General features: G+C 38.7%; 1 protein-coding gene across 36 annotated transcripts in view; it reads right to left on the bottom strand.

The window, feature by feature from the left end:
* Positions 1–22,094, bottom strand: part of PTPRM (protein tyrosine phosphatase receptor type M) — an 839,541-nt gene that overhangs the window by 288,853 nt on the left and 528,594 nt on the right. For all 36 annotated transcript variants that reach the window (XM_011525708.3, XM_047437715.1, XM_011525712.3 and 33 more), the window contains 2 exons: positions 4,245–4,518; positions 3,177–3,213 (listed from right to left, as the gene is read on the bottom strand). In XM_011525708.3, coding sequence (XP_011524010.1) covers positions 3,177–3,213; positions 4,245–4,518 — 311 coding nt within the window. The remainder of the gene's footprint in view (positions 1–3,176; positions 3,214–4,244; positions 4,519–22,094) is intronic.

Below are 22,094 nucleotides of genomic sequence, written 5' to 3'. Positions count from 1 at the left end.
GACCACCATGGTGAATATAAAAGCTAAAGAAAACACATACACTAATCACTAAAACACAGTTGGACCAAATGGTCATAAAAAAATCCAACTATAAAAATGTGAATGTTAATGAAAAATACAATTTCATAGATTTTAAGAAATATTTAAAAGCTACTCTATTCACTCCACTATACAATTAAAAACAATCCCTTGAATTGGGCAGGTAACACATAAACATCACGTATACCCTGGTTTATGGTGTCTTTATCTTTTAACTCAAGAGAGAATATTCTGTGATGAGTTTGCCTATAGTTAACTTGTACCTATAGGAAATTCATCTAGGTGCATAAACGAAGAGGATGCATAAAAATATAGGCAATCCCCCACACGTATGGAGATATATAATAATACAGCTTAGGTTTTTTCCTGTCTAACTTTTATGAAGTTTATATTTAAGATGATGAGTGTCAAAATATGTCTTTGGAATATGATTAAAATAATCACTGCATTAAATTTATAAATAGTATGAAATATATTTTTAAGAGACATACCCTTACTTTAAATTATAAGCTAGCTCTTAGTGAAAACAAATCCACCTCCATACTTTCTCTATAAAGATACTTGTCAACAGTTGTTTCAGGAGAACATTGAAATCTTTGTACATTCAAAATGTTGCTTAGGAAAGCAATTCTGTATCTGAAAACTCAATTAAGCCATCGCACTGTGAGCAGTATGTGGCAACACACACTCAGGATGTTTGAACTCTTCTACATTTTAAACATCTTTACTCTGTGGTATCAACAGTTATTAGATCTTCCTATTTCTCTGTTTTGACTATGTAGTCAAGATGGAATGGCTTCCCATGTTGCAAGAGAATTTCTAGTATCAATAGGGACACATTTTCTGACTAAAAGGTGGTGAAACATTACACTGTGCTGAAAGGAGGGTTGATGAATCCGTCCATGTAGAACTTAATAAAATAGCACAAAACAGTGTAGTTTTGCCTGGAGGGAGAATATCTTCCAAGGTTTCCTCTTGTGCTGTGATTTTATGAAACAGAATGACAATGTTATGCAGGAAATATTAAAATGTGTCCCTCTTTCCCCAAAAGAGGTTCTTTGGATAGAGTTTGTTGCTGTGTAAATGTTTGCAAATGACTCAGAAAATAGGAGTGGGGAATATTTAGTCAATCAGGTCATCTGATTGCTTAATCATCCTTTGGTGAATTGAAAAACAAATTACAATATTGATGAAATCTAGCTGATGGAAGAAAATGATCCAAATCACTATCTAATTCAATCTATTGTGAAAACAGCAAACTTGTCAGGTTTCCACATTTACTAGTGTGTTATTTATATAATTATTTAACTATGTAAATGAGCATGATGACAGATATTTTGTTGTTTTCACAGTAAATTGGGCAGTGACTCAATCCTCACCAAGAGGAGGTCTGATGCTTACACTACACAATACTGTCACTGGCCAGAGGTGCTGCTGGGTGACGAGCCATGAGCAATGGTGAAAGAAACACTGGGGCTAGGAGTGCAGGCCTTGACCCCCAGATTATCAGCTGAGTCACCTTGGTGAGTCAATTCGTCTCCAAAAATACACCTTTTCCTCATCTTAAAAATAAGAATAGCAGTACCTGTTTCCCTTTTCATAGTAATGAAGAAATAAATGAGAACACACGCATGAAAGAGATTTCAAAACTTTCAGCTGTGACGTTAAACGTTAAGCATTATAAACTAGGGGCCCTGGAACAGGATTTACTTTTTCAGACCTTAAGTGTAAGTGAAATGTAATACAGCAGTATTTTGAAATTCCTGTTGTTGAGTATGGACCATAATCTTGAGATCTAAGAGCATCAATGGATACCTGGTTCAAGGGCTTCATCGTCCTGTAATAATTAATAGCTGATAGCATACGGCAGTTTATGAAACACATAAGCAGCTATAATTTCAGTAAATATCAATTTATTTCTATACATAAAGTCACTTAGGTACAATATGATATAAAAATTGAGTGTTTTAAAATTAGTATAAATAGATTTTTGGATATAGAACTACAAGCCTATGAGGACAAACAAGATACAAATGAGGTGAGTACCTCACACAATGCCTGGCACAAAACATGCAACCAAGAAATATTTGTTGAGCTAACACTGACTAAAAGAGTCATGTAAGTTCACAAAATAAGAATTCAGTGAGAATTTTGAAAATGCACATGTACATCATGGTATATTCAAACTATGTTCACCTGAGAGTTAAACAACAACAAAAAGTTATTTTATCCAACACAACTCATCAAGTATGACCTGATTAAATCTTCTGCTACAGACCTAATGATGTGTTTTTACCATCGTCTCTAAATTAAATCATACAGAACTTCCCACTGTATTCATGGTTACTCCAATGATCTAAATGATTGTATTTGACTTTGAGTGTTAATTTATATTGCCTCATTTTAAGACGACATTTTAAATTTCTCAAAGCATTTCTTATACATTTCTGTATGTGACGGTTAAAACAACACTGTCAAGTTGACCAGATGACAGCTCATGTTCACAAACACACGTCTGCACTTGCTTCTGCAGGAGATGCTGGGGGAGCTCAGGGTAACTCGCCCTACCCACTTTTGCAGCTCATCCTCTATCACATTCTCTCAGAGAGTTTTAACCAGGCTTGGGAAATAGATGCTCCACAGCAACATAACCTGGTTACTAGGTTCAGAGAGACACGCACCACCAGTGAAAAAAGCCCGCGTAGACTCCACTTTCTACTGCTATTATAACTAGAGAACTACTTAAAAATAGTGGGTGATATTTTATTCCTTTGCATATGAAGATTCACTAGATGTGGTACTACCAGGCATGACACTATGGATTAAAAAACGTGTACTGAGATCATATAAAAATTAAAGTCATTTGAAAAAATCTGAAAAAGGTAACTATTGAAAACTGCTTGGAACACAGAAATATAGCTTCTTATTTTAAAAAGTATCTATATGAGTTCCAGTCAGTCAATGTTAATTACCATCAGATCCTAATACATACATGCATTCATGCATATATATATATGTATATATAATACACACATTTTATTTTCAATTAAGTTCCAGTTCAAAAAGTTTTGAAACATAGGTTAAAATAAACTTTTAAGGAACATTAATTAGGAGAATATCCCACAATTTCAACCTACCTTTTGTGGCCACTTGGACACAGTCTATTTTGGTTTCCTGTGTCAAATAAAGAGAGGGAAAAATCATTATTCATGTTTTCTTTAAGACAAATAGAAATATCTGTAATTCTATTTAAATAGCACTGATAAGGAAGGATCTCACTGTTCTGAGCGTGTCTTTAATCACACAGCAATTATTCTTTGAACCATACTCAGATACATTTTCTGGCTCCAGTGGCAGGCAGTGCTGGGCATTTCTAGACCAGGTGATGAGCAAGGAGCTACACATAAAATGTCTCTGCCTGGTGGCCCCGGACCTCCTTTAGTAAGGAGGTAAAGTAAAGGACCAGATCTGTACTTTGCCCCTGAGCAAACAGTATTGGAGAAGCATGATGCATCTCAGATTTCCCCCCTTTACACCGGCAAAAGTCAAGTTGACCACGATACCTAGACCTATGCTGCGAAGGAGGGACCCACTGTGGTATCTGCGAAACATTTCCTTCTGTCTAAGGAGAGTTTACAATCTTATCAGAGTTCTGGGTTGGTCTGAGCAGGAAGGGGAAGCAAATTCAGAAATGACACTTTTTATTTTGTTTCCGTCTCATTTTTCTATTTTCTCTTAGGAAAAAAAAAAGATACCAAATTTAGTCAAAGTATAGGAAGTAGAAACTCTTGTGGAACTTCTTCAGTTCCCATTTCTTTAATGGGACAGACTATGCTGAAAAGACAGATGCTGTGAATCTCACAAAATTTTAAATGAGCTGAATGTATGTGTTGGAGCTATACTGTCTTCCTGTAAAATAGTAAGCTAAGCAGAATTGCCAGCCAACTTTTGGTAACAGGAAAACTGAAAATAAAACCTATCATGTTGATGATAAACTCCCCCAATCAAAAAAAAAAAAGATGAGTATATTTGTTTCTTTCCATAAATTTCTCTAGACAAAAATAATTTTAAGAGAAGAAAATCACATTTGTTTACAAGTAGAAATGCAGAAAAGCATGACTTCCATTTTACTACTATTTTACTTAATCTATGTTCACATTAACAACCCCAAATAGCCTAAGTAAACAGTTATCTGTACAACTTACCCCATTGGCTCTACTAGCAGCTTGGAAATAAATTCTGTAGCTTTTATAGGGGAGAAGGGGAGTGTTCCAGTATCCATTATATGTCTTATTATCACCAATTGTAAAAGGCTGCGCAGCTTGGAGGCTGTCTGCAGGAAATTCTGCAGCAAAGTAGTACTGTGAGTTCAGCAGAGAAGCATTCTGGAAGTGAATTGGCACTGGGTAGCACTTTAAGATTTCTGTCGTCTTTTTAGTTCTTCGAGGACGTTCTTCCTCAACAACTATTTGATAGACACTAGAAAAACAAGAGTACCATCAATGATATTTTATGATAACTGAACTGATCCACTCTGCCTTCAACTGCATGGACCCACAGGACACGCAAAATAAAGAACACACTGGACGCAGTCCATACTAAGTGCTTGATATATAACAGACTCTCATGCAGCACTTGCTCAGTGAAAGACAGGGAGGGTTCTTCAGTTCTTCTTCAGAACTCTCTCACCCAAAACAACACTATTTAGTGAGAGAAACAAAATTCACCATCATTTTAAATTTTTAATATGATAATCTCTACTGTTTATGTGAGCAGAAGTAATGTTTTTCTCACATGTAACTGACGATGATTTTACAGATAATTAACTCAGTTTACCTGATAAATACAATTAAATTATACCAACTGTAAGTTTATTTTAAAAAGCAATGCATTATTTTCTTTAATGACAACACAAGTAAAGTTTTAACAAATCACAAAACACAATGTGTAGTGATTCATGTTAACTAAGGTTTATCTTCCTATGTTTTCTTATGTTCCTTTGCACTCACCGTATTCAGTCAGTGGAAAGAAATGCATAAGAAAAGCAGAGATAAGGGATTATAGTTTCAAAAGCCAAAGCCTTGGAGTTCCAAGTGATTAGTAAGACTAACTAATGAACAAGGCCCCTCGAATCTCATATAAGAATGGGCTGGGTATCTCTGAAGACGCCTGCAAGGATGACAGCCCCACTAAGGAGTAGGTCTCTGGTACCCGCTCATCCTCTTCCAATGTCTTTGAATTCTGAAGTAACCTCAGGAGAATGGCAGAAACCTTGAACTGATAGATTTTTAGAAAATTAAGGTATTTATTTAATACATTTGCCAGAGTGATGAATGTTGTTTGCAGTTTTGTTGGAAAAAAACCTTTCTCATGCTGAGAAAAACTAAAGCCTGACAACAGCTTCCCTGAACTGAGTCCAGATTAGATTTTAAGTCCTCTGGCAGGAAGAGGGATCTTTTTCTTACAGTATCAGAAAGGCACCAGAATTCCCAGGAACCAAGAGCTGCCCAGTACAAGAACCCATTAATGCCAAGGAAAAAGCACAGAAGAGGGCTGCCTGCTATCCCCACCCATGGGGGGAATGCCTAGAAAGGTTTGTCTCTACACTCTCGTCTATGTGACCTCTGAATCTGCACTCATAGAACCACCTATCTCTGTGGGCACAACCACTTAGCACCTTCTATTACAGAAACAAAATGTGTGCTGCCATTTCGTTGGTAATTCTGTCTAAATAAAAATCAATTGTTTTAGAATATCAGACTGATTTCTCTGTAGACAGGTAACCAGCAGGTTTATAAGGCAATGATAAAGTGAATATTACCAGTGATGTAAACTTAAAAAAAGGAGTACAACTCTTATTTCCTAAACAGCAGATACTTTCTATCGGATTGAGTCACGTAAAATGCTCCACATTAGTGGATCATTCATACAGTAGTAAAGGTAAAGGGTCAAGGTCAAAGTGGAAGACTAAATACTACCTGTTCTGTAGCACAGCCACAGTTGACAGCGGTGAAAGAAGTCTCACCTGGAATACCATTAAAAACAAACAGGCCTAAGGAAGCGTGACCATTCTCTTGAAATCGCTTTTGGAGGGGTAAAGACAATGCACTGGTCTGAGCTCTAATTCTAATTCTGCTAAAAGCTTGGGTTTTAAATGCATTTCAATTAATTTATTTGAGTTTTATTTTTCTCCTACGAAATGAGAGAATTAAGTGAATCTCTAACATGGAGTTCATATATCTAGAATTTTTATTCAACTTACAAGGACTGATCTCACAAAATAGAGAAACCGTAAGAATAATTATTTTCTTTGCAAAGTGATTCTCCATTTAATAAAATAATTTTTTTTTTTGAGATGGAGTCTCCCTCTGTCACCCAGGCTGGAGTGCAGTGGCACGATCTTGGCTCACTGCAAGCTCTGCCTCCTGGGTTCACGCCATTCTCCCACCCCAGCCTCCCAAGTAGCTGGAACTACAGGCGCCCGCCACCACACCCGGCTAATTTTGTTTTTGTATTTTTAGTAGAGACGGGGTTTCACCGTGTTAGCCAGGATCTCAATCTCCTGACATCGTGATCCGCCCGCCTCGGCCTCCCAAAGTTCTGGGATTACAGGCATGAGCCACTGCGCCTGGCCAATATAATAATTTTTAACATCACTTCCTTCAAATCGTTTTTCCAGTTCATTTCCTGTATGACATGATTTTCAAAACTTCAACTTAAAAACAACTTCTGGGAAATCCATATACTAGACAAAGCAGGAAAATAAGGATATGTGTGAAGAAAAAAATGTTGCAGATATTCCATACTGGAAGTGCTAGGCCAGGTGCCCAACACACACAGAGTTTATCTTTCCCATTTTCCTAATGTGAAAACTGAGGTGTAGAGGTGAAGTGCCATTCTACCAGGGTATTCTACAGAAGTGGCAGAGGTGGTCTGACAGCAGAGCCAGTTCTCCTAATCATCAGACCAGGCTGTGCTGGCATTCCTCATTCACAGGTCCAGTGAAGGCACTGATGGAAACCATCTGGCCTGAAGGGAATTTTCACTTGCTCCTGTAGACACAACCAACACATAAGCTAGTCTCCACTGACTTTCCACAGTCAACTTCTTTTGAGTATTGTAAAGATTCACACTTATCACATCAAGGGAGTTATAGACGATAATGTTGGCTTTGACCTCAATTCCTTCTGTATCTGAATCATTCCTCAATGAATGATTGAGGAATCATTCACTGGAATGAGGAATCAAGGTATGTACAGAATCATTCCTCAATTCTATATCTGAATCATTAATTACTTTCAGGGAGGACGTTCTCCTGGGCTCCACAGTGACTTTAGCACCGGGCTGGTGTCCTCGGAGCACTGTGATCTTCCCACCTCTCTCAACCTGCAAGGAGCTCCCTCCTGTTACAACCCAGCTAGACAAAAAAGCAGCACAGCTGCTCCTAGACTTTCCATGTCCCAAGATCCTAGATTCTCCTACTGCAAACATCTTTGCCTCTTTTCCTTCACCCTGGCCTGGACTCAAGTTTGCCACTTAAATGTAGTTCTCCTCAAGGCAATGAACTCTAGGTCACTCTCAGATGCCCTGTGTCCTAAAACACAGACCCTCAATGAGTCTCTCTCAAGGGCTTATAGTCTGTTCCCTCATTTTCATGTTCTCTTGCTCTGCTCCAAATGCACAAAAACATGTTTTCTGTGAGCACATAGTCATTTTGTGTCCTTTTATCACTATTTTCAAAAGTCCTACAAGCTTCTGAAGAAGAAGGGCAAAGGTTTAGTCACTGTTGTGTCTCGTGACACTTCGGCTGTGAAGTACATATTTCTGAAAGCATGCTATAATCCTGAAGTTGCTTCTATTTGGTTTGGGGGTATATTACACATTCTATGTACCAGGAGGGAGGAAGCACACCGATAGTCACAACGATGCTTTGCCTTATTAAAATTTAATGTGAAGTTTATTTTGTATTCATTACCCAAATACTCAAGAGCCAAAGAGAAAGCAATGACCAAGGAAAAGGTTTTATGGTAAGAGGATGCTAGTTATGTTTTAGTTTATCCTGGATAACCCACAATTAAATAATGAACCTAAGGGAATCAAACGCTGTGTCTCTATGTGCCCCCCACACCTCCATCTCTCACTTCCCATTCCTCTCTCCTAACCTGGCTCGTAGGTGTGATGGGTGAGTGTGTACACTGATTTATTATTTCAACAAATTTTTTTGAGTGCCTAATAGGTGTCAGGCACTGCTCTAGTTTGCCTTAAACAACACAATGTTTGACATTCTCTAATGATACAAAATTTTGTTTTGTAATATAAATATCATCTAAGCAAACATGAAAAAAATCATTTGTTTCAAGCAGTAGTTTAATGAGGATTAGGTGAAAATTTAAGAATTAAACAATCATTGGACAGGCCTCCATGTTAGCCAGTTGGCATGGGTTCTATTATACACTCTACTCCAGACATACTGCTTTTTAAATGGCTACTATCCACTCATCTTCAGATATATTAAAGAAAGAACTAAGTTGACTGGAGCAATTTCAAACCCAAAATGTCTTTTCATCCTTGCTCCACAAGACAAATTAGATTTTCAAGCATCCAGACCTCAAATCTATTTGCTCTTTAATAATTTAAGCACTGAAAGGTCAAGCAGCTCTTTTCTAGTCCCCTTTATCAAAGCCCAAGTGCTAATGAAAAATAGCTAAATCCTATCTGCTGCCCAATTGCCATAATTTGCTGTTTCCCTGATGGAAATTAACACATTATTAGCACCTAGGTCAATAGTACCTTGACAGAACTTTATAGCTGATGTGTTTTTCATCTGTACAAGTAACATCACTTCACTAATGAGTTTCATAAAATTTTTCCATCCACAATCATAATCTCAAAACTAGCTTTGAAAATCTCACTGTTGGAATGGTGTTTCTAGAAAGAGTTTTAAAAAGCAAATTTCTGAGAATAGAAAACTGATCAGAAATTTCTAGCTTAGTGAGCTGAATTTAAATTCTATTATCCTTTTAATGAGTTGCCCATGCTGCCTTTGTTTATTAAAGTTGCACCACCCTAGCCCTGTCCTACCATTATTCTGGAATTTAAAGTAACATCAAATCTTCCTACTGCATGTGCGATATTAAAAGCACAATCCACAGTGAGGATGAATCTGCCAACACTGTGACATCATTATATCAGAACTTTCCTATGGAAGGAAATTTAATTTAAAGTTTAATTTATGCTAGGCATTTCTACAACAAAATTCTAAGGCCTTTACAAGGAGAATGAAAAATCTGCATTTATATGGAATAGCACATGAAGTATAATCTAGAAAAGAACATCTGAACATCTTTCATCTACTTTTTTAGACTTGAAAGTTCAAATGTGATAAAATGTTTTTAGTTTTTTCCTAACTTTCGAGTTCCTGGAGAGGAAGCCTCATACATATGTGAAATTAACTTAAAATGTTTTGTCCTAATTCATTTCAAGATGAGTTGTAAATCCATTTTTGTTATCCATTTATCGTATTTCTTTTCACCATAAGATATCAGAGGGTTACCAATTGGATAATAGAAGGTAGGGAGGTAAGGAAGAGAACAGAGAAGGAGAAAAGTTGTAACGCTTTCATTGTTGTTTTTGCTAATCCTCTAAAACAGGCACTTCTGATCATTTCAGGGACTTAGAATATTGTTCATTTTATCATATCTAGTAGTGACTTTTGGCTTGATTTGTAATTTTTGGTAAAAACCATCCATTATATATGTATAAAAAGAATAGATATTAGTATTGATAGCTTCCTGAAGATTAATATGGGGGGAGATGAAAGAAAATGAAAATATTAATTACATGCAAAGCATGAAAAATAAATGTGTAACTAAGGGTTAATGCCATGCAGCCACACTGAATTTATTTACCTCTTGTTCTTTGCTCTGACATTGTCTTTTCCTAAATCTGTCAGCATTTACTGAAATGACACCCTAATACTCTAAACAACCTGATAAAACTAAACTCAGTTTTAAAAAATATGTCACCAAATTACAATTACTGGAAAAAAATCAGAATTCAGTGTTTGTTATTACTGCTCAGATTCCTTAGAGTCCTTCAGGTAACACTGAGAGTAACTGACTGGACACACACCTGTTGATTAAATTATCAATGATAAATGGTAATTAGTTTTATACAGACAATTGGCAATGGGTAACACATCACACAGGATAAATAGACCTGTGGGGCTGAATATTCTATATTAGCAACTTTAATTTCTCTTTGTCCTGCTCTGATATAGACAAGACTGGCCAGAAATTGCTGTGGAATATTTGTGGGGCACCACAAGCATTTTTTATGTTCTCTCAGCCGTAACTCATAACAAGGAGCTTGCCTGGCATCAGTAAGTTACTATTGCTCTGTGGGTGTGTGTCTGTGCACATGCTCCCATACTCGGTTCAATACCCTGCTGCTCTGCTAGTTAGTGATAAAATCTGATATAATAAAATATTAATTACAGATGAAAGGTTGGGTGAGAAATATGAACTCAATTACCATCCCATATTATGAACAAAGGGCAGGGTGAAAAAAATTCTTTAGTTATGGAGGTTTGGGATAATAAAAAGAACAACTAGAACATTAGGCTCAGGCTGAGAAGCTCTGTAAAAGGCCACCTATCATTAATCTTCACAACAGGCACCACATTTCGAGTAAATTAGTCCTAGATGGAACATCTTTAAGGGTGATGTCTCCTGCTTTTAACAAGTGAAGACAATTTCCTTTGCATTTCCTATTTCATATAAATTTAACACAATTTAATCATCTCAATTTCATAAACACATGATTATGAAAGTATAATCCAAAATTAGTTACTATTATGAAAAGTATGTTCTCTTAAATAGTCCTAATGATTTGAATAAAAATAGAAAGAGAATACTATCAAAGCCACACCAAATAGCTTTGTTCCTGTATGTTTGTCTGAATGATATTTTATAGTTTGTATTTTATCCAATTCAAAATCTTTCAGTCCCGAAAAGTTCCAGTGCTTTGGGCCAGATGGGCTGGAATACAAATGCAACTATCAGAGAAAGGCAGCTGTGCCCAAGGGGGTGCTGATGAGAGAGCATTGACTTGGGAATCACCGTCCACAGGTGACTGGCTCCTGCTTTGCTCCTGAATCACCAACTGACCACTAAAGCCCTTCAGGCGCTAATATTTTATGACTCTCAGCACAAGATCAGGCAAGTTGTGACATCAGCAAATGAGAAGAAAATTATTTCATTCATGTTTCCTCCATCCTTTCTTTCCACAATATTCACCACGTATCAGGCCTTGTTCCAGGCACAGGGGAAGAATAAAAAGAGGAATTAGGCACAGACTGCCCCGTCCTTGAAAAGCACAGGCTAAGAGTGTCAGAAATACATCACACCAATGAAGAACTACCATGCCAAGGATCTGATAAGGGTTTGTACAAAGGACAAAGTAACAGGACCCAGGGATGTGTCAATCTCTACGTTAAAATCTCTTCTAGCATCTACTACATTGAGGGCATCTGACCTGAACCAAGTGCCCAAATGTTCTCACCCTAAAACTGCTCCTGCAATGCTACAGTCACCAACATTCTCCCTGAATTAAAGATAACACAACAGCAACAAAAAAAAAAGCCAACATGTTTATTAACAGATCCCAATACAGTCTCCATTCACTCCAATTGCTTGTGAGTACCCTTCATCAGCACAGAAGATGGAAGACAATGAGCTGGGTCCTACCTCACATACTGCCCAGGTCCCAGCAGGTATGCCCCCAGGAGTCCCCAGAGTGGCCCCAAGAGCTACACAAGAATGGCAGGGTCTTCCTCATTCAATTCCTGTCCTGCAGAGCATGAAAACCAGGCTTCCTAGTCTTGACTCCTCTAGGCGCCCACAAGGCCTGAGGTAAGGATGAAGAAGGAGGTACCTGAGGGTGGGCCGGGAAAGAAGCTTGAAGGCATGCATGGTCTTCGTCTTTGTTCTCCTCTCTCTTTCCAAATCACTGTCAGGCAAACTTGGAACTACTCTCTGTCGAGTCTATAATCACTCCTTAGGCTACAAAGGCCATAATTTTTTGTTTTCAGTACTTCACTGGATATCCATTTTAATCCTTAAAGTTATATCAAAATATTACGTAAGTATTTTGTTGGTTTTTCTGGGGGGTGACTGGCAGTGGAATTTGGCTCTGAGAGCCATTCCTGACCTTCCCTGTCTATAGCAGCCTCCCTGTACACCCTCCCACAGGCGCCCTGGGCTTGCCGCCCTCAGCACTGGGGGCCTGGGAATGAGAATGGAGGTCTGATCCCATGCAGAGAATCCTTCAGAAGAGATTACTTTGAAGAAAAGAAAATGTGAAAAGTAGGGGAGGGAAGGCTAGGCAGCATATTTTCATGCACAAAAGCAAGTCTGAAATGGAGTTTGAGGGAAAGTTAAATTAAGTTTCATTGTATAAAAGCTCAAATACATCTACTCTATTATTATTATCTTCCTCTGCCATTTTTAAAGCTTCTTTTCAAAGGTTCTTAAAGAACAAACTTAGTTTCCAAAATGAATTTTCAAAGAGATGACTGACATTGTCATCCTAGAAGCAACATTAATAAAAATGATCTTTGTTTTCTGGCAGTAAAGGAATCCAGAGTATTATTTTTTAATACAATAAAACTCACTTAAAAGCAGGTGGGGTGGGGGTAGTGGTGGTGGTGATAGTAAGGGATCTGGCACCTTTTGCTAACACTCACTGTAGCGATTCAGCAACAGTAAGTAATAATAAAAACAAATTCTATAAAAAGCAGGCTGAAGTTTTACCACTCAATGACATTTTGATCCTATGTGTACCTCAATGAATAAAGGAAAATTATTAGAAGTCAGTTGCTTTCCCTAAACAATTTTAGCCACAGATAGAGCCTTTTCAAAAGGTTTGAAAACTGTGACAAAAGTGCATTTAGCCCTGAAGGTTTAAGATGCTCCTGCAGTCTGCATTTCTCCAATAAATAAAAAGGGAACAATTAAAAAGCCACTTATAAGTACCTCAAAAGCACTGATCCTTAATTTATTGATTCTTTGGAGACTAATAAAAATGGTGAAAGGAAAAAGAACATACATACCAGCAGAAAAACACTGATTAATTTGATTAAAATAATCCAATATTCTAAAACAATTTCGTTTAAGTTCTTCAAGTTCTCAAAATTATATGGCTAAACAATTAACAAGGGCTGGGTGTGGTACCTCATGCCTGTAGTTCTAGCACTTTGGGAAGCCAAGGTGGGAGGACTGCTTGGGCCCAGGAGTTTGAGACCAACTTGTGCAAGATAGTGAGACCCTGCTCTATAGAAAATAAAAAAAAATCAGCTGCGTGTGGTGGCACACCACCTCTAAGTCCCAGCTACTCAGGAGACTGAGGTGGGAGGATCGCTTGAGCCAAGGAATTTGAGGCTGCAGTGAGCTATGATCATGCTACTGCACTCCAGCCTGGACAATGGAGCAAGATTCCCCCACTAAAACATAACAAAACGAACAAACAAAACCCCAAAATGTTTCAGCTTAAAAATAATAACAAGGAAATAATGAAGAATACAAAAGTATTGCATTTAAGAATTAAGCAAGCAGTAGGGATAAACCCCAGAGATTCCAATGATCATAATATAGAAACAAAGGTGTAACGTATTTTCTTAATAAAGGCGTACCCAGCTTAATAAGGCACTTCACATTATTGGGCTTCACAGATACTGAACTAAAGTTTTACAAATTGAAGGTTTGTGGCAACCCTCCCTTCAGCAAGTCTGTCAGTGCCATTTATCTTACAGCATGCACTTACTTCATGTCTCTGTGCCATTTTGGTAATTCCTGCAACATTTCAAACTTTTTCATTATTATTACAACCGTTATGGTGATCTGTGATGAGTGATCTTTGATGTTACTCTTGTAATTGTTTTGGGGTGCTATGAACTGTGTCCATATAAGACAGCCATCTCTCTCCCTGGCACTGGGCCTCCCTACTCCCTAAGACACACAATATTGAAATTAGAACAAATGATAACCATACAATGGCCTTTAAGTATTCAAGTGAAAGGAAGAGTTGCAAGCCTCTCACCTTAAATTAAAAGCCGGAAATTATTAAGCACAGTGAGGAAGGCATGTCAAAAGCCAAGACAGTTCGAAAGCTAGGCCTCTTATACCAAACAGCCAAGTTGTAAATGCAAAGGAAAAGTTATTGAAGGAAATTAAAAGTGCTACTCCAGTGAACACATGAATGATAGGAAAGTGAAACGGCTTTATTGCTGATATGGAGAAAGTGTTAGTGGTCTGGATAGAATATTAAACTAACTTGAGTGGTCTGGATAGAAGATCAAACCAGCCATGATATTCCCTTAAACCAAGCCTAGTGCAGAGCAAGACCCTAACTTTCTTCAATTCTATGAAGGCTGAGGGAGGTGAGGAAGCTGCAGAAGAAAAGTCTGAAGCTAGCAGAGGTTGGTTCATGAGGTTTAAGAAAAGTAGCCATCTTCATAACATAAAAGTACAAAGCGAAGCAGCAAGTGCTGATGTAGAAGCTGTAGCACATTATCCAGAAGATCTAGCTAAAGTCATTGATGAGGGTGACAACACTAAACCACAGATTTTCAATGTAGATGAAATGGCCTTCTATTGGAAGCAGATGCCATCTAGGACTTTCATAGCTGAAGAGGAGAAGTCAATGTCTGGTGTCAAAGGACAGGCTGACTCTTGTGTTACGGGCTCATGCTGCTAGCAAGTTTAAGTTAAAGCCAATGCTCATTTACCATCCTAGGGCCCTTAAGAATCATGCTAAACCTACTCTGCCTGTGCTCTACAAATGGAACAACAAAGCCTGGATGATACCACATCTATTTACAGTATGGTTTACTGAATATTTTAAGCCCACTGTTGAGACCTACTTCTCAGAAAAAAAGGATTCCTTTCTAAATATTACTGCTCATTTGACAATGCACTTGATCACCCATGAGCTCTGATGGAGACGTACATGGGATGAATGCTGTTTTCATATCTTCTAACATGACATCCATTTTGCAGCCCATGGGTCAAGGAGTCATTTTAACTTTCATGTCTTATTATACACGGAATAGATTTTGTGATGCTATAGCTGCCATATATAATTATTCCTCTAATGGGTCTGGTCAAAGTCAATGGAAAGGGGTCACTATTCCAGATGCCATTAAGAACATTTGTGATTCATGGGAGGAAGTGAAAGTATTAATATTAACAGGAGCTTGGAAGAAGTTGTTTCTAAACCTCAAGGGTGACTTTGAGGGGTTCAACACTTCAATGGAAGAAGTCACCTCAGATGTGGTGGAAAGAACAACTAGAATTAGAAGTGGAGCCTGAGGACATGACTGAATTGCTGCAATCTCATGATCACACTTGAACGGATGAGCAGTTGCTTCCTATGGGTAAGCAAAGAAAGTGGTTTCTTGAGATGAAATCTACTTGTGATGAAGATGCTGTGACCACTGTTGAAATGACAACAAATGATTTAGAATATTATATTAACATAGTTGATAACGCACTGACAAGGTTTGAGAGGATTGACTCCAATTTTGAAAGAAGTTCTACTATGGGTAAAATGCTATCCAACAGCATCCCATGCTATAGAGAAATCTTTTGCGAAAAGCAAAGTCAACTGATGTGGCAAATTTCATTGTCTTATTTTAGGAAATTGCCACAGTCACCCAAACCTTCAGAAACTACCACCCTGATTAGTCAGCAACCATCCATATTGAGGAAAGACCCTCCACTAGCAAAAAGATTATGCCTCATTGAAGGCTCAGATGATCATCAGTACTTTTAGCAATAATGTATTTTTTAATTAAGGTAGATACATTTTTTAAGACATAATGCTATTGCTCACTTAACAGACTACAGTATAATATAAACATAACTTTTCTATGCACTAGGAAACAAAAAATGTGTGTGACTTGCTTTATTGTGATATTCACTTTATTGCAGTGATCTGGAACTGAGCCTGCAATAACTCCAAGATATGCCTGTACTAGAAAAGACAATAAATAAAGGATATTAATTTGCAGAATAGTCCACGTCTGCAAAGGGAGGTGTAACCATCTTGGTTCTGAAGGGTCAGGAGGAAAGATGTCTTCTGATCAAGCAAAGTGGGGGACAAGAGAATGAGCACAGCTCCCAGGAGGAGGCAAGGTCCTGACAGCTCACGTGCCCTGTGGCTCTGAGCACAAGATTAAGTGTTACACGGAAAGCTCATGGCTTTGGGGTTAGAGTAGACAAGTCTGTTAACCTCCCTGAACCTCAGTGCTTTCAACTGTAATGGGGAAATGCTGGCATCTAGCGAGGAAGCCTGCTCTGAATCATGATAAATTATTTCATTTGGGACCAAGCATGGGCTTGGCACATCACAGCTCCTCAATCCAAGTAACCATGATTATTCATTTTCTATTGCTGTAATTATTATTTATCTATCACAAGCTGCTAAGAAGAACATAACTGAGGCTCAGGAATACAATGCTAGGACCCAGAAAATTTCCCAAGACATAGGCAGAATAAAAGGGGCTACCATGTTATCTATAAGTTGTTTCTATCACTATAGAAATCAACAATAAGAAAAGGCTTCCTGTACTGAACAGATAACATCTGTGTTTGATGCTGTCCTGACTGCTTTGCTTACAGGTCACTAATTCTCCCAGCTGTCCTTTGAGGTAGATATTATTATTACCTTTGAGGTGGACATAAATCTTGGCAAATAAGAATTTAAACCCAGAAGCATCAAGCTCCATGCTATGGTTGCATTCTTTATGCTTCTTAACAACATTGCACTTTTACTCCCTGGAATGAGCTGTTATCTATAAACAGTCCTACCAACAATGCCTTCTCTTATTGCTGGGATGTTTTGATGGAACAAGAGATCTAAAACATTGATGATTTTACCAAATGAATGCACAATATTAATACCAAACACACATATTTCTTACAACTTCTATAGAAGTATTGTCAAATATCAGTGACTGTTAAAACATAGTTCCTATATAGGTGATAACCACAGAATATCAGCATAGAAGATAAAAGGCAGTAATGATAGGAAATTTTAAGTGTATTACTAAAAGCGGAGTATAATGGGCATAAAGACTGAATAGCAATCTAGTCAACATTTTTTAAGCAAATCATGATATCATAGCTTTATTCTCTTTGAGCAATTCGGTTTGCAAATAATTTTCACTGATCATAATCCTTCTGACCAGGCTGTGAGACAGGCAAGTAGTATACTTGATGCGAATTTTACAAATGAAGGAACAGACTTAGAGAATTTACAGGGTGCCATAGTTTGGATATTTGTCCCTGCCCAAATCTCATACTGAATGTAATTCCCAATTGGGAACTGGAGGTGGGGCCAGGTGAGAGATGTTTGGTCATGGGAGCAGATCCTTCATGAGTGGCTTGGGCCATCTCCTTGGGGATAAGTGATATCTCACTCTGAGTTTGCACGAGATTTGGTCTCTTAAAAACGTGTGGCATCTGGCTGGGAGTGGCGGCTCACACCTGTAATCTCAGCACTTTGGGACGCCAAGGTGGGTAGATCACTTGAGGTCAGGAGTTCACAACCAGCTTGGCCAACATAGCAAAACCCCGTCTCTACTAAAAATACAAAATTAGCCAGGCATGGTGGTAGGCGCCTATAATCCCAGATACTCAGGAGGCTGAGGCAGAAGAAGAACTGCTTGAACCGGGGAGGCAGAGGTTGCAGTGAGCCGAGATCACGCCACTGCCCTCCAGCCTGGGTGACAGAGTAAGACTCCGTTTCCACACATACACACACACACACACACAAGTGTGTGGCATCTCCCTCCTCACTCTCTGCCTTGCTCCTGCTTTCACCATGTGACATGCCTTCTTCCTCTTTGTCTTCCGCCATGGTCTTAAGTGGAATATTGGAGGCTTCTGAGGCCTCCCCAGCAGCCAAGCAGATGCCAACACCATGCTTCCTGTAAAGCCTGCAGAATGCTGAGCCAATTAAACCTCTTTTCTTTATAAATTACCGAGTCTCGGGTATCTTTATAGCAATGCAAGAAGAGCCTCACACACAGGGTGACTTCAGGTCACACAATTAGTAAATGTCCCAGCCGAGATTCAAACCCAAGTCTTCTTGTGTCTGTGCCACGTGTTCTCTTAATTTGTGATACTACCTTTCTAAACTATTAACTTGTATGAATTGTTTACATCAGAGAGATTAGATGTCACTTATACTACCAAATGAAACTTCAGTCATTTGGTGGGAACTGGGAGGTGGAACCCCTGAGCACAGCCTGCTCCATTCAAAATCTTTGTGTTTGGCAAAAGACAGTTTTGATGCATCCATCCACGGTAATCTGTTAATTTTCCATCCGGAAGACACATTGGCCTGTTTACTTCCCCAATGTCCCGGCCCCAGTGGTTGATCTAATATGCAAACCCAGTCATAGTTTTTGCCTCAGTAAAAATTCTTCTACAGTTTAAAAAAATGAGAAACAAATAATAAAAACAAAACAAATAAACAAATACTCATGGAAGCCTGTGTCTGGCATAGAACCAGGATTGGAAATACAGAAGTAAAATCAGAGGACAGGCCTGGCCCTGAAGGAGCTAGTAGGTGGCCAGGACAAGCGGTCACCAGCCAGTGCAGTGAATGAATCTAGGGCTGAGCTCTCTGGGAGAGCTGCAGGACACAGATGGGCAGGGGGCCAGGGTGGGCTCTCCAAGGAGGTGACATCTGGGCCATAGCTAGGAGGGGAGTGGAAATAAGTGAGAGAAAGAGAGAGAGAAAGAGAGAGAGAGAGAGAGAAAGAGACTGTGGAGAGACTGTGTGTGTGTGTGCAGGCAGGACAGAGGGAAGATAAAAGAGAGAAGATTCCATGAAAGAAACATCAGCTGCAAAATAAACCCACAAAATGGCATGGAACCACCCAGGATATTCTCAGGCAAATATTTACAGGTGGAAGGGAGGCTGCCCCAGGAAGTGAGTAGAAGCCAGAGGCTTCCCCATTAGAGGAAGTCTGGATTTATGCTGAAGGCAATAGGGAGACACTGATGGGTTATTAAGCTGGGAGGAAAGACCCTGCAGCCACAGGGTGAATGGGGATTGGAGACCTGAGAAAGACAAATATGAACTAAGACAGTGATTGTGGGGGATGGAAGGTAAAGCGAAAAGGAGGGGAGGGGGTGTCATCACTGTCCTCAAGAGGTGAGAAGACAAGTTTTTGCAGGAGTCAGTATAAGCCTGCAAATTGGAGTGACCTTCCTGATTGGATCTGAATTTATAGCAATGGCTTATTTGAAGCAATCTTTCTCAATTACTCTTCTTATTAAAAAAAAAAGATTGCTTCAAAGGTAAAGGCAGGGTGTTCTTTTATAGCTCTGCATTCTATGGAAGGTTCATGATATTTAACTTTTATTTAGGGATGAAAATATAATTTAAAACTCCACTTGTTCCTGGTATGTCCCACTAGTTAAATGAAGGTCTAGGGTCTTCTTATCTGTAATAAATGTTTCAGGTGATAATTATTACTGCTGGCAAGAAAAAGATGAGGTTCATTCAATAAACATTTATTGCACTCTTAATTAGGTTAGAGGTATTGCATGATATTCAAAAACTAAATTATTAAAATCATTTTGTGATCAAATGATTTTGCATTTCTGATTATATTTTTATATGTTTTACATAATGTTTAGCCTAGGGAAATGCTCACTCTCAACATTAAATATGGTCATGAGTCACTTAATGATGGGGATATATTCTGAGAAGTGCCTCATTAGGCCATTCCATCTTTGTGCAAACATCATACGGTGCACTTACAAAACCCTAGATGGTACAGCCTACTACACCCCTAGGCTGTATGGTAGAGCCTATTGCTGCTAGGCTACAGAGCTATATGGTATGTGACTCTACTGAATACTGTAGGCAACTGTAAAACAGTGGGGAGTATCTGTAAACCTAAAGCTAAATGTAGAAAAGGTGCAATGAAAAGACAGTATTATAATATTTCAGGACCACTGCTGTATACGCAGTCTGTTGAATGAAATGTCCTTATGCTCTGCACAACTGCATGTAAATCTAATTAATGCTCCTGAGTGATGGTCAAACCTTGTGTGTTTTTAATTTTGTTGACTAGGATGACCACTGTTTAGGTCTCTTTAACTTCTCTTATCTTAGGCTTTTCTACTGATTGCTCTCCTACTTGGTGAACCTATCTACCTACCTCCTCCTCAGGTTTCAGTTTAAGTAACACATTCTCAGTAAGACACTCCTGATTCTCCTGTTGAGATTTCATCCTTCTGTCACATACTCTTAGAGTACCCTGTACTTTTCTAGACAGCTTTTATCACAACCCTAGCACAATGACATGAAGACAATAAGTGTTCAGTAGATATCTGGTGAATGAATGAAGAATAACTGAACAGTAGCCAAGTGTCAATCCTAACATTTCCTACAACACTTTTCAATGCTATGAAGGGCCAGGATTTTAACCAGGTACTAATAACTGGACAGAGCTCTTACTACTTCTCATTGAGTGGAAAATACATTGATACAGGACAGGAAAACACTTAGCAGGTAGAAGTAGAGATGAGATGGAACTGGGCCATACATACATGTCAAAAGGGACATAATTATATGGGAAAAAACACCAAAACCACTCCCTAATCTTTCTACTGTCTGATTGAAGAGCTGAATATTAATTTAATTAAGTTGCAATGAAATACAGGTAAGCCTCACAAGCATAATATAATATACTTAAAAAATAGTTATTAAGGAAATAGAAGGCATATTAGCACTTTTGTGTACACTGGTGTTCTTATAATAAATAGTTACATTGAGTATACTTATAAGTGCTGGTTGATAAAATGCCCTGCTGAAGAGAATGATGTAAAACATAATTCCTTCTGTATCTGTGCCCTCATTCCTCTCCCCACCACCAAAATAGGATGAAGCAGAAATGTAACATGAGGAATGTGGTCAGGACTTCTGAGTTGGTCGTCCTCAGTTCTAAAAGTCTAGGGCTCTAAGAAGCATACCGGCTTAGTGATCACACATGACTTTATCAGTCTCTTGGAATTTGCAACCTTTCCTCACATTTCACATATGTGAAAGTGAGGCATCTATAGTCAAATCAGTTAATCTTTCTCAAAATGTCCAAGATCCTCTCCAAGAAAGGCTATCAGCCCTAGCTTGGAACACCTCTAGAAGTTCATCCCTTAAACTCCCTAAATCAATAACTGTGATTAAGAAGACCCAAGGGTTCCCGAGAGCAAATGGCAGAGCAGCTTTACAATTCGTAAAGTAATATATTGTTCAGTGCAGGCATTTGCAATCTTTTAGTGCTCTGAGTTTATAATTGAAACTATTTCTAATTTATTCCACTATTAACATTTAAAGACGGTCTATCTAGATGAGGGAAAAGAAACAGCATGTAACTTTCTCTACGGTCAATGGAAAATGAAGTAGACTTTAATGTCTCCCTCCTTCCTGCCGAATGGCTTCTGTGCAGCTGGTCAATAAGAGGGGAACGCATAACACAACCTGGCTCTCGCCTCCACGAATGTGCAAGGTGTGGCCTCCACTGTGAAGGACATTCGAGAGCTTTCATGGAGTCTGTAGTTCCAACTCAAATATTTGCCTTTTCAGGGACAGGCATGGGTTCTTTTGGGGATAGCAAAGCAGTATGATAAAAAACTTAGGTCTTCCCCGGCCCTAGCCAAGAATGAGCCACAATCACCCACTAAGTGTGCTGCTGGCATGCCTTCTGAAGCCGAGAGAAGCATTTCACACTCTAGCTTTTAGTAACCAGAGGTGCCACCCACATCCACTGAGTAGGCATCATGGTAACACCTCAACACGTACAGTCATTGTCACAAAATTGATGGACACAGGCCCACAGCAAAGGGGTTAAGGTGCAATATAAGGAAGGTAGGAGAAGCAACAAAAGAAAGATCCAGAAGGTTCTTCCAAACAAGAGACACTAAGAACAACTTTTTACTGCTTATGAAAATTGGGGTTTAAAAATATTTATATAATTA

Source organism: Homo sapiens, chromosome 18 (assembly GCF_000001405.40).
Source record: "Homo sapiens chromosome 18, GRCh38.p14 Primary Assembly".
NCBI lineage: Eukaryota > Metazoa > Chordata > Mammalia > Primates > Hominidae > Homo > Homo sapiens.
This window is presented reverse-complemented; position numbering and strand designations above follow the sequence as displayed.